The sequence below is a fragment of the Homo sapiens genome, chromosome 22 (assembly GCF_000001405.40).
Source record: "Homo sapiens chromosome 22, GRCh38.p14 Primary Assembly".
In the NCBI taxonomy this organism is placed as follows: Eukaryota; Metazoa; Chordata; class Mammalia; order Primates; family Hominidae; genus Homo; species Homo sapiens.
Genome location: NC_000022.11, coordinates 45,789,827 through 45,806,535, shown reverse-complemented (window position 1 = coordinate 45,806,535; position 16,709 = coordinate 45,789,827). Strand labels below are relative to the sequence as shown.

General features: G+C 38.0%; 1 protein-coding gene and 1 pseudogene across 3 annotated transcripts in view, besides 5 other annotated features; one reads left to right on the top strand and one right to left on the bottom strand.

Moving 5' to 3' along the window:
- The window catches only part of ATXN10 (ataxin 10), a 173,474-nt gene that overhangs the window by 38,772 nt on the left and 117,993 nt on the right, over positions 1-16,709 (bottom strand). The gene's annotated exons all lie outside the window — the stretch shown is intronic.
- Positions 10,973-11,882: an origin of replication, noted in NCBI's record as "STS-E to STS-F replication initiation zone; region encompassed by primer sets P5 and P6; peak of nascent strand synthesis in cell lines with an increased copy number of (ATTCT)n repeats; determined by quantitative PCR of size-fractionated nascent strands". NCBI's record gives the evidence for it as "EXISTENCE:fractionation evidence [ECO:0000100][PMID:17846122]".
- Positions 11,092-11,229: a replication regulatory region, noted in NCBI's record as "alleles with increased copy number of (ATTCT)n repeats can rescue DNA unwinding element (DUE) deletion in ectopic context of MYC replication region, as determined by quantitative PCR of size-fractionated nascent strands". NCBI's record gives the evidence for it as "EXISTENCE:fractionation evidence [ECO:0000100][PMID:17846122]".
- Positions 11,112-11,181: a microsatellite, noted in NCBI's record as "n=14; non-pathogenic allele; does not promote DNA replication".
- Positions 11,112-11,181: a tandem repeat, named in NCBI's record as "ataxin 10 repeat instability region".
- Positions 11,112-11,181: a repeat instability region, noted in NCBI's record as "repeat instability region; expansion of the (ATTCT)n pentanucleotide repeat is associated with spinocerebellar ataxia type 10". NCBI's record gives the evidence for it as "EXISTENCE:polymerase chain reaction evidence [ECO:0000082][PMID:11017075]".
- TRNT1P2 (TRNT1 pseudogene 2) lies at positions 12,839-14,553 on the top strand (annotated as a pseudogene).

The window sequence follows — 16,709 nt, the reverse complement described above, 5'->3', positions numbered from 1 at the left end:
AAGGTTTTAAAATTTGACTATTTGTTTTTCAAGGCAAATGAGAACTGGGAAAATTATTTGTAAGGTATCACGGATTTGGAAGATATTTGCAAAGGATTAATATTTTAATATATAAAGAACTTGTAAAAATTTAAACACCACCAACAATACAATAGAAAAACAGGTGAGATACATGAAACATACATGGCACCGAAAATACAAATAAACTAAAAAGACATCAGAATATGTTCAAACGTGCTCATAAGAGGGAAGCAAATTATAATTATACACATTTCTTACCTGCCAGACTAACAAATAACCAAGTCTGACAACAAATGCTATTGGTAAGGCCACAAGGAAACAGACACTCTCATACACTGCTGGAGGGAAAATGGTACAACTCCCATGAAAGGGAACTGGGTGTAAGCAGCAAAATGACACATAACCCAGTAACCCCATTTCTAAAATTACAGATCAAAAGCACACTACCCCATGAAATAATGTGTGACACAAGGTTATTCACTACAGCATAGTTTATTTTGTTATTTTATTTTTTTGTAAAGATGAGGTCTCACTATGTTGCCCAGGCTGGTCTCAAACTCCCAGCCTCAAGTGATCCTCCTGCCTTGGTCTCCCAAAGCACTGGGATTATCGGCATGAGTGACTGTGCCTGGCCCAGTTCATTTTTTGCTGAGACATCATCACAAACTATAAAATTCACACTTTTAAAGTGTGCAATTTGGTGGTTTTCAGTATATTCACAGAGTTATATAACCATTAGCATGATCCAATTTTCCAACATTTTCCTCACCCCTAAAAGAAACTCCACACCCACTGGCAGTCACTCCTTATTCTTCCCTCCCCCCAGTCCTTGGCAACTATCCTTCTACTTCCTGTCTCTCTGGATTTGCCTATTCTGGACATTTCCTATAACGGAGTCAGAAAATCTGAACGACATGTAGCCTTTTGAACCTGGCTTCTTTCACTCAAGGTTCACCCATGTTGTGGCATGTCAGCGCTTCATTTCTTTTCACGGCTGAGTAACGTGAACAGTGCATTGTACGGATATGCCACATTGCATTTTTCCATTCACCCACTAATGGACATTTGTGTTATTTCCACCTCTAGGTTATCATGATAATGCTGCTCTGAATGTGCATGTACATGTTTTTGAGTGGATATAAGTATTCATTGTTCTTGGGTATATACCTAGGAGTCAAACTGCTAGATCATATGAGTTATAAACATTTGAGGAACAGCCAGACTGTTTTCACAGTGTTTACAGTATTTTACATTTTCACCCAGCAATTTATGAGGGTTCCAGCATCTCCACAATCTCATAAACACTTGCTATTGTCTGTCTTTTGTAGTAGGCATTCTAGTGTAAGTGAAGTGGTATGCCATTGTGGTTTTGATGCGCATTTCTGATGACTAATGATACTGGGTGCAGCACAACTTATTATGAAACAACTCAAGTCTCCACGAATGGGGGTTGCTTACATAAACTACGGTACAAACACAGTAGACTGCTATATGGCTGTGAATGTGAGTGGAGAAGATTGCTGATGGACTGCTGCGGGAGGATCGCCAGGAGATGTAGCCAGATTACAACATGTTAATAGCCTTATATGAGAATCTTGTGTGTGATAAAGGAGTATTTTTAAATACTCTGAACAAGAAACAATGGAAGGTTAAACCAAAAACAAATAATGGTTATCCACAGGGTAAAGAAGAGAATGGGGTGGAGGAAACAGGAATGGAGACTCTGTGAATGTGCCTTGTATAATTTTGACTTTGGAATCCTCTGTGTTTTATCTACTTTTAAAAAATTAAATTTAAAGTTATAAAAATTGAAAACATACAAATTAATCTAATGAAATATAAAATAAAGTTCTTTTCAGAATTAAACAGTATTTTGACTTTACATCCCTAGTGAGATATACATAACCTAAGATGATACAGAACCGCATAGAAGTGTTTAAACTGCATTCAGTCATCTGAACATGAACTATTCCAAACGCCATGTCCCGCTGAAAGAAACCAGATCTCCAGCTGATTCTAACACACAGGCTTGCTAGGAATCTATTAACGATCCTTATTTTACAAAGGCCAGGAAGAAGAGAAAAAATTAGTTGGTAACCATCTAATTTCTGTAATTTTTTCCAGGCACTGAAGGTGTGATGGGAAATGAACTACTATTTAGTAGACACCTGGCATATACTAGGCAATCAGATGCTTTAATGACTTCGTTTAATTCTGAAATGCTAGAGTAAGTATTATTGGTTCCCTTTTACAGATAAAAAAGTGAGGCTCAGAAGTCCCCTTCCTGTGGTCACTGACCTAATAAGTGCTATTCAAGGTGAGGTCTGGAGACCACTGTCAGTTTGTAGGAACAGACACTGAAGGGAGGGAGCTGAGAAACTGCCGACAATATGACAGCCATGCGGTGTCTGCTGAATCTTACGATGAAATTTGGGCTTGAATTCTTATGCCTTTTTTTAGATTTATTTTTCTAGTCATTCATTTTATACTATATCCTATCCAAATGTAGGTCCAGGATGGTTTGAGGGAAAGATAAGTGGCTCTTCACCACAGCTAGTTTAGGAAGCACTGGCATGGAGGGTTCGACCACTATAGAGAGTGGGTCTTGGAGGGGGGATCATGTGTTTGAGAAGCACAGAGAGAGTTTTATGGCCAAGTTGGTAATGACCCCACCTGAGACTGTATCCAAAGCTTCCCAAGGATGCCCTCACACCCCCACTTCTCCTCTGATAACCTGCCCCACGTCTACCAGCAGGATGGGGTACGTACGCATCCTGTACGTAAAGTAAAGTACGTACAGTAAAGTCTGCAAATGGGAAAGAAGAGATGCCAAATGCCTTTGCCTTGTGCTGACCGATATTGGGATGAAGATAAGGAGAAATCCAGAAAAGAAGCAAGGGCCCTATAAGTGTCACTGAGAGGAAAGAATCCAGCTCGTCCTCACCAGCTCTCCATAAATGTGTGATCCAAACCCTTCTGGAACATAGGTGCATCTCCACGCCAGATTGAGGTTGGTTTTCACGCTCATAGTTTGTTTGGCTAGAAGAACATATAGCATGGGGCTCACAAGAGAAGGCCTCCCTAAAGAAGTGGCATTTAGCTTAAGATGAGAAGAATGAACAGGAATTAAATAAGGCAAAGGGGACTGTGGGAGTGTTTTGGGCAGGGGGAAGAGTATGTGCAAAAGCTGGAAGATAAGATGAAACATGAAGCTCATGGAACTGGGAGGCAGTGCGGCATAGGGATTAAGAGTGGCCACTGTGGAGCCAGGCTGCTGGGGTCAAAGCCTGGCTATGAGATCTGTTGGCCTTGGGCAAGTCAAGAAACCCCTAAGACTTGGTTTCCTCCTCTGTAAAATGGGGATGATAGTGCCTTCTTCAAAGAGTAACTGTGAGTGTGTTTAGCACACAGTAAATACTCAATAAAGAGCACTGGGAGTGATAGCAGTAGTTGGTGACATTCACACTGTTAAATGCAATTAGTTCATTTAGGAACAAGGGGTTGGGCAGTAGCTCCTAAATGCATGACGAAACTGAATAATTACTTCAACAGGGCTGAATTTACACTTCTTCTCTGCATTAGGCAAAGTTTCAAATTTATTTTCAAAAACCAGGTTTTTTTTGATTAGTGAGAAATAAAAGTATTCGGGATTTATTATTCAATGCATGGAAAACACCTCACTTTCTACAAAAAAAAAGTAGAACTCTTGAGATATGCTAAATGGGTAAGATGTTCTTTGAAGGAAATGAAATCACACATTAAAAACTGAAATTTAAGCAGGCAATAAAGGTGAACTAAAGAGTTCTTAAAAATCATGGTTCCACTGGAGTTGTGTGTCAACTGAGGGTATGCGTTCCTGGATAAATATTTCTTATTCATACAGCTGCATTAGGAAAGGATACAAGGGAACCATTTATAGAAGTTCATTAAACGTTTACAACATAAATGACCTATTCTGGACAAGGATGACAGCGGCATTATGACAAATACACAATTACATACTTAAGAATGAACACAGGTTAAGGTCACTGGGAAAAGCAGACACCAATACAGCACCTTCAGGAAGGGTGACTGACGATACAATTTTGTTTTTACAAAGTCCAAGTTTACTGCTATAACTACAAGTGTCAAGCTAATGTTGGGGCAGGAGAGAAACAATTAAGTTTTCTTCTGTCAGCACTTCATTAAACAAGAAAGTTGTTTGTTTCTTTACTAACATGTTGGGAGTTGATTGTAGGCCCGTAATTAATGAGTCACAAGTTACAGTTCACACTGAGGAGCCAAGCTCAGTCAACACTTTCCCGTGGTAGTGCATCTCCAGGAGACAATAAGCCTGGCTTAAACAAATTAACATTTAGCCTCTGGAAATGAAGTGTAAACAGAGGACAACAAATAGATTTGGGAACTGTTCTTTCCCACATTAGCCAATAATGCCAGAGTAGGCACTCCGCTAAGGGTACAGGCCCAACTCTAATAACCAAGCTCCTTTGGGAAAACCTACTAGGTTGACAGAAAACAGAGCCTGTTAGCTGTGTGACCTTGGGGAGGTTTCTGAACTTCATTAAGTCTAAATTTTCTTACATGAAACAAGAGGGCCATACCCACCTCCCAGGTGTACAGTGAGGACTGTATGGGAAAGCATCCAGCATGGTGCCCAGCACATCATGAGACCACAGGAAATGGCAATGATTTGTAATATTATTTTCATTTGGCTCTGAGATTCTAAAGGTTTCCTTTACCATCCACATTTGAAAAGAGCTGGATATGGTAATCCTTCACCAACCACTAGCTGTCCTTCAGCAAAGTTTGAATATGGAAAGATCTACTTCTACAATCATAAGAAATTTGGTAGATATGGGGTTATTCTAAGTTAGTGTAATGTTGTTCTTGACTGTCTCATTAACTGGGTGTATGTCTGGATTTGTAATTTCCATCCATACTCTTTTGCTGGCTTTAGCCTTACACAGCAATTCTAAGTCTCACAAAAATATAGTACCATTGATCTTTGTGTTGCATTTGTTTCCATGGTGTTTTGTGCCACTTAGCAGTGGGCATTTCAGGCCTGAGCTGCTGCTTTTGTCCACAATGCCTGGGCAGCAACATATGGTGTGACTCAAGCAGAAGTAAAAAAGAAGTGGCTTGGGCATTGCAGACACTCTCTAGAGAGAAAACTCAGAGCCAAAGTCTGGCCAGTGCTCCTCAGCCTAGGCTACAACTTAGAATCACTTGGGGGAGGTTTTAAAAAGTGCCAGTGCTGTGGTCCCAACCCCAGAACAAATGAATCTGCATTTCTGCGCATCAGTGTTTTAGACAAACTCTCCAGGTGACTCTAACATACAGCCAAGGTGAAAACGCCTGATCTCCCCAAAGCCAAACAGCACCCACCAAGCCAACCTGTAAGACCTGCTCAGAAGAAACGCCTGAAACCTAACGCACTGCCCTCCACACACTATCCCCTTTGGTGCTTCGTTTTCTTTACTTCTAAAAGGCATTTTATTGAGGTATAATTTACAGAAACTGCCAAGTGCATCTGCACAGCCACAAACAAATCAAGACATGGGATGTTTCCATCACCCCCAAAAGCTCCTTGCGCAGCTCTGCAATCACTGCAGCTCACCTCGCCCCTGCCCCATCTCCTCTTAGGCATCTGTTTCTGTCATTACAGGTAAATTTTGTCCGTTCTATAACACAAATGGGTTTAATGAAAAGTGTTTTCCAATGTTTTCGAGATTCATCCACGTTGTTACATGTATCATTGATTTTTGTTTATTTCTAATTATGAATATACTACCATTTATTTATCCACTCATGTGTTGATGGCCACTGGGTTGATACCAGTTTTATCCGCAATGAATGGAGATGCTATGAACACATGCATCTGTATCTTTTCATGGGTGCATGTTTTCATTTTTTGGGTGGATACCTACGAATGAAATTGCTGGGTCATATGAAGTATATGTTCAACTTTATTAAGAACTGCCACAGTATTTTTCCAAAGTAGTTGTACCATTTTACATTCTCCCCTACAATGTATTGGAGTTACTCTAGATCCTTATCAACACTTGATATGTTGTCAGCCGTTTTAGGCAGCATCACACTGTGGTCTTAATTTACATTTCCCTGATGGCTAATAATGTAAAGTATCTTCAGGTACTTATGGGACATTTCTGTTTCGTTAGTGAAATGTTATTCAAATATTTTGCTCATTTTATTAACTGGGTTGTTTTCTTCTCATCGAGTTGTAAGAGGTTCTTTACATATTCTGCATATGAGTAAGTCCTGTGTCGGATATATGTATTGCAAATATTTTCTCGTATACCATGGCTTGTTTTTTCAATTTTTTAATAATACGTTTCAAAGAGCATTGACTTTTTAATATAGATGAGATACAATTTACCAAAACATTTTTTCATGGTATTTTTTATATTCTAAAAAGTCCTGGCCTACTTCAATATATCCATAATGTTTTCTTCTACAAGTTTTGTATTCCCAGCTTTTATGTGGCTATTTTAAATCAATTTTTGTTTGGTATAAATTAAGAGTCTAGGTTCTTTTTTACTCCATAAGGATATAAAATCATTCCAGTGCCATTGTTGAAAAATATATCTTTTCTCCACTGAGTCTGGACTCTATTCTGTTCCACTGGTATATACATCTATATTTACATAAATACCATACTATCTTAATTAGCTTTATAGTAAGTCATGAAAGAAGTAATATAATCCTCTTTGTTTTGTTTTCAAAATTGTTTTGGCAATTGTATTAGTTTGGTAGGGCTGCCTTAACAAAGTACCACAAACCAAATGGTATAAAAGACAGGAATTTATTGTTTTACACTTCTGGATGGTAGAAGTCCAAGATCAAGATGTTGGCAAGGGTGGTTCTTTCTGAGGACTATGAAGGAGAATTTGTTCTAGGTCTCTCTTTAGCTACTGATAGTTTGCTGGCAAACTTTGGTGTCCTTGGTTTTTAGATCTCTGTCTGTATTTTCACATGACATTCTCATTCTGTGTGTCATCTGTGCCCAATTTCCCCTTTTTATAAGGACACCACTCATACTGGATTAGGGGCCCATCCTCCTCCAGTATGATCTCGTCTTAAGTAATTACATTGGCAATGACACTGTTTCCAAATAAGGTCACGTTGTAAGGTATTGGGGTTTAGCAATTCAACATATGAATTTTGGGGGATACAATTCAACCCATAACAGCTATTCTAGGTCTTTTGCATTTTCAAATTTTAAAACCAGCTCATCAATTTTTATAAAAAATGTTTCCTGGGACGGGCGTGGTGGCAGGCGCCTGTAATCCCAACTACTCGGGAGGCTGAGGCAGGAGAATCTCTTGAACCCGGGAGGCGGGGGTTGCAGTGAGCTGAGATCACACCAGCCTGAGTAACAAGAGTGAAACTCTGTCTCAAAAGAAAAACAAAAAACAAAACACAAATGTCTCCTGGCATTCTGACTGGTATAGCATTCACTCTATAGAGGTCAACTTGGGGAGATCTAACACTTAACAATATTGAGCTGTCTGTTAAATTTTAACTTCTCTCAGCAATGTTTTATGGTTTTCAGAGTATAGGTCTTGCACATATTTCGTTAAAGTTTATTCCTAAATATTTCATGTTTTATGATGCTATTGTATGTGGCATTTAAATTTTTTCTTATTATTATTTGCTAGTTTTATATAATTAATTTTCATTTACATATCTTGTAACCATTCAAAATTCACTTCTCATAACTTTATCAGTTCCTTAACACACACGATCACCTCATTTATGAATAAAGCCAGTTTTACTTCTTTCCAACCTGCATGCATCTGATTTTTCTTGGCTTAGTGAGTTGCTCTGGACCTTCAGCACGTTGTTTACTGGAGTGGTGAGAGCAGAAATTCTTGCCTTGTTCCTGATGTCAGAGAGAGAGCAGTGTTTCATCATAAAGTATGAAACTAGCTGTTGAATTTTTTTTTCATAGATGCCTTTTTCAGGATGAGAAAGTTCCTTTATACTGTTAGTTTGTGGCAAATTTTGACGTGAATGAGTGTAAATTTTGTTCCGAATGCTTTTCCTCTATTGAGATAATCATATTGTTTCCTCCCTCTTATTCTGTTAATATGGGAGAATTAAAGTGTCTGCTTTTCTAACATCAAACCAACAGTGCACGGCTGAGATAAACCATCATAGGTTCATGATACATTATCACTTTCTGTATTACAAGATCCACTTTGCTGATATTTTGAAAAGTGTTTTTATGTTTCTGACCATGAGAGACACTGCTCTGTAGTTACTTTGTTTGTTCCCTTTTAAGGTTTTTGTCCGGATTTGGGAACAGAGTAATGGTGGCTTCATAAAATAAGTTGAGAAGTGTTCCCTCCTCTATTTTATGAAAGAGAAAGATTGGGTATATGCTTTCCTTCTTAAATGCTTGACAGAATTCACTGCTGAAACTATGTGTGCCTGGAGATTTTGTTGTAGAAACATTTTAAACTACACATTTAATTTTTAAAAATATTTATCCTTTATTCAGTTTTTATTTTGTTTCTTTCAAGAAAACTGTTCATATCATCTATTTTGTCAAAATTTTTTGGCATCAAGTTGTTTATGCTATTCTCTTATTATCTTTTTAATGTCTGTAATATCTATAATGATGTCTCCTCTTTCACTGCTGATAGAGGTCATTTATATTTTGTGTCATTTTCTTGACAGGTAGACAGATTTATCTGGAAAGATTGATCAATCTTTTTAAATATGCATCCAGCTTCTGATTACATGGACTTTCTCCACTCTATGTCTATTTTATTTTCTACTTCAAAGATTTCCATTCTTATCTTTGTTAATTCTTTTCTTCTACTTACATTGGTTTAATCTACTCTTGGTTTTATTACCTTCTTAAGTTGGAAACTAAGATGACTGATCTTAAATCTGTCTTGTTTTCTCATGTATTTTAAATTTCCTAAACACTACTTTATCCCCATCTTACAATTTAGGTATGCCATTTTTCATTTTTATTCAGTTCAAAATATTTTCTAATTTCGATATGGTTGTGTCTATGACATGTGGGTTATTTAGAAGTGTACTGTTTAATTTTCAAATATCTTGGGATATTAGAGATATTTTATAGTTTTAACTTATAATTCTGCTGTAGAGACAGAATATAGTCTATGTTTTCAGTTCTTCTACATTTATTGAGCACTGTTATGGCCCCAGCATATGGTCTGTCTTGGTGAATGTTCTATGTGTACTGGAAAGAACATACATGCTGTTATTGGTGCAGTGTTCACTAAATTTCACCTGATCAAGGTGGCTGATGGTATTCCAGTTTTCCATATTCCTCCTGCTTTTCTTTCAGCTTGTTCTGTAATTTATAAAGATAAGAACGCTGATATCTCCGATTATGACTGCAGATCGATTTTTTCTTTCAGGTGTCAGTTTTGGTTTCAGTTATTTGAAATTCTGCTATTAGCAATGTATGTTTAGGCTATTATGTCTTCTTGATGAACTGACCCTTTAATCATTATGAAATATCACTCTTTTACATCTAGGGAAATTCTTTGTCCTTAGGTCTATTTTGTCTAATATTAATATAGCCACTCCAGCTTTCTTATAAGTGTTTACATGGTATATCATTCTTTCACTCTTAAGGTATCTTCACCTTTATATTCAAAGTATATTTCTTATCATAGCATATAATTGAGTCTTGCCTTTCAAAATCCAGTATAGGCCAGGCACAGTGGCTCACGCCTGTAATCTCAATGCTTTGGGAGGCGGAAGGTGGGAGGATAATTTGAGGTCAGGAGTTCGAGACCAGTCTGACCAACACGGTGAAACCCCATCTATCGGGGGAACCAGCCCCCAATATTTCAACGTAGGTTCTTTTCTATTTTCCTTAAGTGTCGGCCGGTCTGAGAAATAAAGAGAAAGAGTACAAAGGAGAGAAATTTTACAGCTGGGTCTCTGGGAGCGATATCACATGTTGGCAGGTTCCGTGATGCCCCTTGAGCCACAAAAGCAGTAACTTTTTATTAGGGGTTTCAAAAGGGGAGGGGTGTACAAACAGGGTGTGGGTCACAGAGATCACATGCTTCAAAGGCAATGAAATATCACAAGGGCAGAGAGGCAGAGTGAGATCACAAGGCCAGGGCGAAACTAGAATTACTGATGAAGGTCCATGTCCTGCTGGGCACACACTGTCATTGATAAACATCTTAACAGGAAATAGGGTTCGAGAGCAGTCAACCGGTCTGACTAGAATTCGCCAGGCTGGAATTTCCTAATCCTAGCAAGCCTGAGGGCGCTGCAGGAGACCAGGGAGTATTTCATCCCTTATCTACAACTGCATAAGACAGACACTCCCTGAGCGGCCATTTTAGAGACCTCCCCCTGGGAATGCATTCGTTTCCCAGGGTTATTCCTTGCTGAGAAAAGAATTCAGCGATATTTCTCCTAGTCACTTTCTGAAAGAAGAGAAATATGACTCTGTTCTGCCCGGCCCTGCAGGCAGTCAGGCCTTATGGTTATCTCCCTTGTTCCTTGAAAATCGCTGTTACCCAGTTCTTTTTCAAGGTGCCCAAATTTCATATTGTTCAAACACACATGCTTTACAAACAATTTGTGCAGATAACGTGATCATCACGGGATCCTGAGGTGACATACATCCTCAGCTTATGAAGATGACGAGATTAAGATATTAAAGACAAGACAGGCATAGGAAATTATAAGAGTGTTGATTAGGGAAGTGATAAATGTCCATGAAATCTTCACAATTTATGTTCAGAGACTGCAGTAAAGACAGGTGTAAGACATTATAAAAGTATTAATTTGGGGAACTAATAAATGTCCATGAAATCTTAACAATTTATGTTCTTCTGCCATGGCTTCAGCCAGTCCCTCCGTTCAGGGTCCCTGACTTCCCGAAACACCGTCTCTACTAAAAATACAAAAATTAGCTGGGTGTGGTGGTGAACCTGTAATCTCAGCTACTTGGGAGGCTGAGGCAGGAGAATTGCTTGAACCTGGTAGGCAGAGGTTGCAGTGAGCTGAGATCGCGCCACTGCACTCCAGCCTGGGCAACATAGAGAGACTTCATCTCAAAAAGAATAGAATAGAATAGAATAGAATAGAATAGAATAGAATAGAATAGAATAGAATAGAATAGAATAGAATCCATTCTAGTAGTCTTTTAGTTGGATATTTAAGCCATTTACATTTAATATATTTATCAACATGATTGAGTTTATCATTCTGCCATCTGTTTTCTATTTGTCTTCACTATTCTTTGTTCTTATTTTCCAGACTCTTTTGAGACTGAGCATTTTTAAATATTCCACTTATTTCTCCAATACTGGCTTGTTAACTGTCTCTCTCTTTTTCTAAAAGTGGTTGCACTGGAGTTTAGAGTATACATCTTTACCTTGTTGCAGTCTATCTACAAATAATACCATACTACCCCACATACAATATAAGAATGTTGTAACTGTATACTCTGTTTAATCTTTGGGCAATTACTCTCATATATTTTTCTTCTATATACACATTAAAAATCCCCTAATATACTGCCATTATGATTACTTTAAAGAGCCAATTACATTTCAAAGAAAATTAAAAGTGAGAATAGAAATCTTTTCTTTTTACCCATATATTTAACTTTTCCAGGGATTCTGATCCTTTGTATATATTTGTATAGGTCAGGTTTCCATGTGCTATCATTTACTTTCACCTTGTTGAACTTCATTTAACATTTCTTACAGGACATTTTACCTTCTTTTTTTTGACCTTCATTTTTGAAGGATATTTTGGCTGGATACATAATTCTAGATTAACAGTTTTCCTTTAGTATTTTTAAGATGTCATTCCATTGATTCCTGTCTTGCATCATTTCTGAAGGAAAGCCTGTTATCATTTTTATCTTTGTTCTTATAAACTGACAGGCAAGAAAGTCAGTGAATTAGAACAACAACACTACAGAGAAGATTAGCCAAAACCAAAAGCTGGTTATTTGTAAACATTAATAGAATGGAAAATTCCAGAAAGACTGAGGAAGGAAAAAAGAGACATCCTTTTTTTTTTTTTAAGAAAGAATAGAATTAAAAGGGAGAAACAGGTTTTAGACAACCTAGATAAAATATTAAAATATGAACAATTTTATGAAAAAAATGTGAAAATCTAGATGAAATAGATATTTCTGAGACAGAAAATGTTAAAATTGACAGAAAAAAATCAAAGGCTTGGATACAACTGTCCTTTTTAAAGTGCCCAGCCAGGCTACTGCCCATGTCCTGGAGAGGTAGGAGGCAGGGCTCAGACACCTGACCAAATTGAGGACTAACTAAAACAGGTAGGTCAGGGGTGGAAGCCATTTTCTATAAGACATACCCACCAATATGTCATGTCAGTTTACCATTGCCATGGCAACACCCAGAAGTTACCGCCCCTTTCCACAGCAACAACCTGATGACTTAAGAGTTGCCACCCTTTTCCTAGAAATTTCTGCATAAACTGCCCCTTAATTCGCATATAGTTAAAAGTGGGTATAAATATGAGTGCAGACCTGTCTCTGAGCTGCTATTCTGGGCACACTGCCTATAGGGCAGCCCTGCTCTGCAAGGAGCAGCACCTCTGCTGCTGCTATACACTGCTGCTTCAATCAAAGTTGCTGTTTACCACCACCAGCTCACCCTTGAATTATTTCCCGGGCAAAGCCAAGAACCTTCCCAGGCTAAGTCCCAATTTGGGGGCTTACCTGTCCTGCATCACTGGGGAAAGGCAGGAATCGGGGGTGGCAAGAGCTCCTCAGTAGCAGGCAAGAGGGCCTCAGCATGGAGCTGTGTGATTGGTGACTTCTCTTGAGATGCTGTGGCACCTGCATCCTTGGCAAAGGCTGGTGGAACAGACTGTGACTTCTGAAGCAATAGCTGCCTAAAATGAAGGTGCAGGCTCCAGAATTCTAGTCATTTGTCACAGAAAGATTGAAGAGCTTGACAGAATTATTTGTTAAAGAGAATCGTGAATTCAGAATAGCAGAAGGAGCAGTGAGAGATTTATTAAATGGAATAAGACCTCAAGATGTGGACTCTGCTACCATTGTTACCCTTATTGAAATGCAGTAGATGTTTCCGTCAGCTGGTATTTGGATGATGGACAGCAGAAAAGCACAGAACAATTACTGCCAGGCTTCGTGAAGACAATTTTTAAATTACTACACTCTGGACTGATGTTGTCACTGATGGAAGACATGCTGAGGACAAATTCACAACTGACTAGGAGATGCTGAACACAAAGCTCTCTAGCAAACAATTCTATGTCTTTGGGTTTTGATGGTACTTTATCTAATTTAATGGTTATGGAGATTTTTTAAAATAAGAAAAGTCTGTTGGACATCAACAGAGTACAATACAATTGTTTTTGAATTTTAAGATATGTCAGGTTTTGTGGGAGAACTGTAGACAAACCTGGTGACCACGGTCCTGAGAAGCAACTGCAGAGCCTGCAAAAGGCCTGGCTGGGCTATTAGGAGAAAGCATTTGGGTGGAACTAAAAAAGCTCTTGTCAGTAAACATGTAAATCATTTGATTCACCTTATCTATGATCTTCATGTGGCTCCCTATGTAGGTATAACAGCCAATGCAAGTTTAGAAGAATTTAACAAAGTCAGTAAAAATGTCGAAGGTTTTTCACCAAAGCCAATGACTCTTTTGGCCTCATTATTCAAAGTACAGAATGATGTCACAAAATTGGATTGGAGGTTGACGATTTCAAAAGAAGAGAAAAACCTTGGCTTGTTTATAGTTAAAAATAAAAAAGACTGAATTAAAGCAATAGATAGTTCAGAGCCACTGAAACCCTACCAAGACTTTCTCAGGGACTTTAGGGAACTTGCCGTGACTTCTCACATACGTGAACTACTGAAGAGCCAAGGAGAGCACCATCCCCTAAAGGAAAGGCAGCTGTGGTCCCTTCCTACAGTTCCTGTTCAGTGGGCATGACACCAGAAAAGGGGACATTTCTTGGGGGAAAAGAAACCAGGGCTCTATTACAACAACTACAAGAACGGTGGAGAAAAAGTGGTTACCAAGGGGGAAAAGATAAACTTCTAAGTTATCTGAAGCTAGAGAGCTCACTACTAAAAAGTGGAAACTTTTTGGTAAGACCAGTTGATTTACTGTCCTCCCTCTTAGTGAGATGAAACTACAGCAGAATAAAAGCCAGCTTAGAGGACCTCTTTAGAAGAATAACGGTCTTATTTAGTGAAATATAATTATATTTTAGGTACTAAATTTAAGTCTACCTCCTCTTAATCTAATTTATATCATTGAATCTTCTAATTCTTTCAGAATAATTTCTATGAGAAGGGTAGAATTGACTTCTATTTTAATCTATTTAGACTTTTTTAAAATTTTTGTTTTTGCAAAGGATAGTGCTAAGATTGAGCTTAAGAAAAGGTAATTGCCTTGAAGAAAAAATGTTTATTAACATTTGGAATGCTTATAAGTGTCAGTTCTTATCTGAATTCCAAAATAAACTGTGCCTGGGAAGAAAATAAGAAAAAATATTAAAAGAACAAAAATTTTTAAAGATACTAAAATGACCAAGACTCACTAACAAACACAAAGACGCAAATAGCTCTCAAGCGAGTTCCACCCAATTTTCAAGAAACAGAACATGTATTTTGTATACAAGTTGTTCCAAAACAACAGAAAAATAAGGAAAGATTTCCAACTCATTTTACAAGGCTAGTATGACTTTGTTCCAAAACCAGGAAAGACAGACCACTGTAAAGAAATTAAAGGCCTTTTTAACTTATGAAAATAGATCCCCTTCCCCTAAAATATTCTAGAAATAATATTAGCATAACTAAATCAAAGATGCTACAATAATACATCATGTTCAGGCAGACTTTTCTCAAAAATGCAAGAATAGATTCAAGTGGATCAGAAAATCTACAATGAACCTCATTAATGTACTCATAATAATATCAACCATCACAGAAAAAGTACCCGACCATGCTTAGCCCCTATTTATGATTTTTTTTGATTATCAGAAAACTAGAGAACTTTTTTAACTTCAAAAAGGCTATGTGTCAGAAACCCATAGTAAATGTCATAGGTAAAGGAAAGTTTACATAGATGCTAAGACCAGAAAAAAAACACAAGGATACTGTCTCCTGGCACTGATATAGAAAAATAAATTCAATAAAATACTATAATTTTAAAAGGTCTTTGTTTAAAATGTTCTATCTCTAGAAATCAAGGATGTTCAGAAAATCAAAGAGGAACTAGAATGATGTAAAAAGTATTTCAGTCTTACTATCAGAACAGAAACAACAAAAGAATAAAAACAAACTAAAGCAATAAGGCTGATTTAGCTGGAAAACAGTAATGTTTTTTGGAGTAAGAGCACTTTGGGAGGCCAAAGAGGGAGGCTGGCTTGAGGCCAGGAGTTTGAGACCAGCCTGGGCAACATAGAGAGACCCCATCTCAACAAATAATTTTTTAAAAAATTAGCTGGGTGTGACAGTGTGTAACTGTAGTCCCAGCTACTGGGGAGGCTGAGGCATGAAGATGGGTTGAGCCCAGGAGTTCGAGAGTACAGTAAGCTATGTCTGTGCCACTGCACTGCAGATTGGGCGACAGAGAGAGGGAGAGAGAGGCTCTGTCTTGAAAAATAAACAATAAAAATAAATGAAATGGGAAATAAGATCTAGAAGGTCAGGATAAAAAGATATAAAGAGGAATGAAAACGCACTGTGTTCTAACACACTTACAGTGAAGTGTAGAAAAGAGTAGATGTTTCAGTGGCTATTTGAACAGAAACTGTGATTGGGTCCTACAAAACCCATGAGAGAAGCAAGGCATGGTCTTGACTCACTGGAATTACTGACAGCAAGATCCAAGAAATTACTGAGGAGATTGCTCCCAAATGTGTAGCCCCCCAACTGTCAGAGACTAACTGAAATCTGCTGAAGCAGAAATGAAGACTTTCTCCATCTTTCCCTCAGATATCACAGACTTTCTGCTATGGTCTGCTAGTTGGCAACAAGTAAGAAGTATTGGTTTCTGGAGACATACTTTTGCTTGGGGTAACTATTAGAAGACCAGGAATTGGCTTGTTTTCTAACTCTGGTGTATGTGTGGGGCGGCGGGGGGGCAATGTTTTGATAATCTCGTGTCCTGTTAACTTTTTTAATTTTAAGAAGTGAGGCATATCAGAGGTTTGGTATTGGGTGTTCCTGAAAGAACCACACACATTCCGGCAAGAGACAGTCCAGACTGCAGCTGTTACAAAAAAATCCTGACCCTATACAGGCATTAAGAGCCCCTCTAACTGGGATTGTGCAGAATAAGAAATCAGGGAGAATATATTTTGAATTTCAATTTATTTGAACACACATGGGCAAGAGAATTGGACTTTAATGCCTTTGGACTTTAATTTAAAATGCAATGTTATCTTTGGATTTTAATATCTCTCTGGAAATCTGATAATGAGATAGAATTAATATTCAAATATGGAGTGTCTCTTATGGGCATTCTATTATTACAATGAATGTAGGCCTTTCATTGGAGTATCTTAATATGGAATGAATTTTCCACCTTGAGGTCAAAGTGATTTTGCAGTTAATTAGATTCATGTGTTGTTCTGACCCACTTAAGAGTCTTCTGGGGGTAAAATATCCACTCCTCACCAGCGGTCCAAGA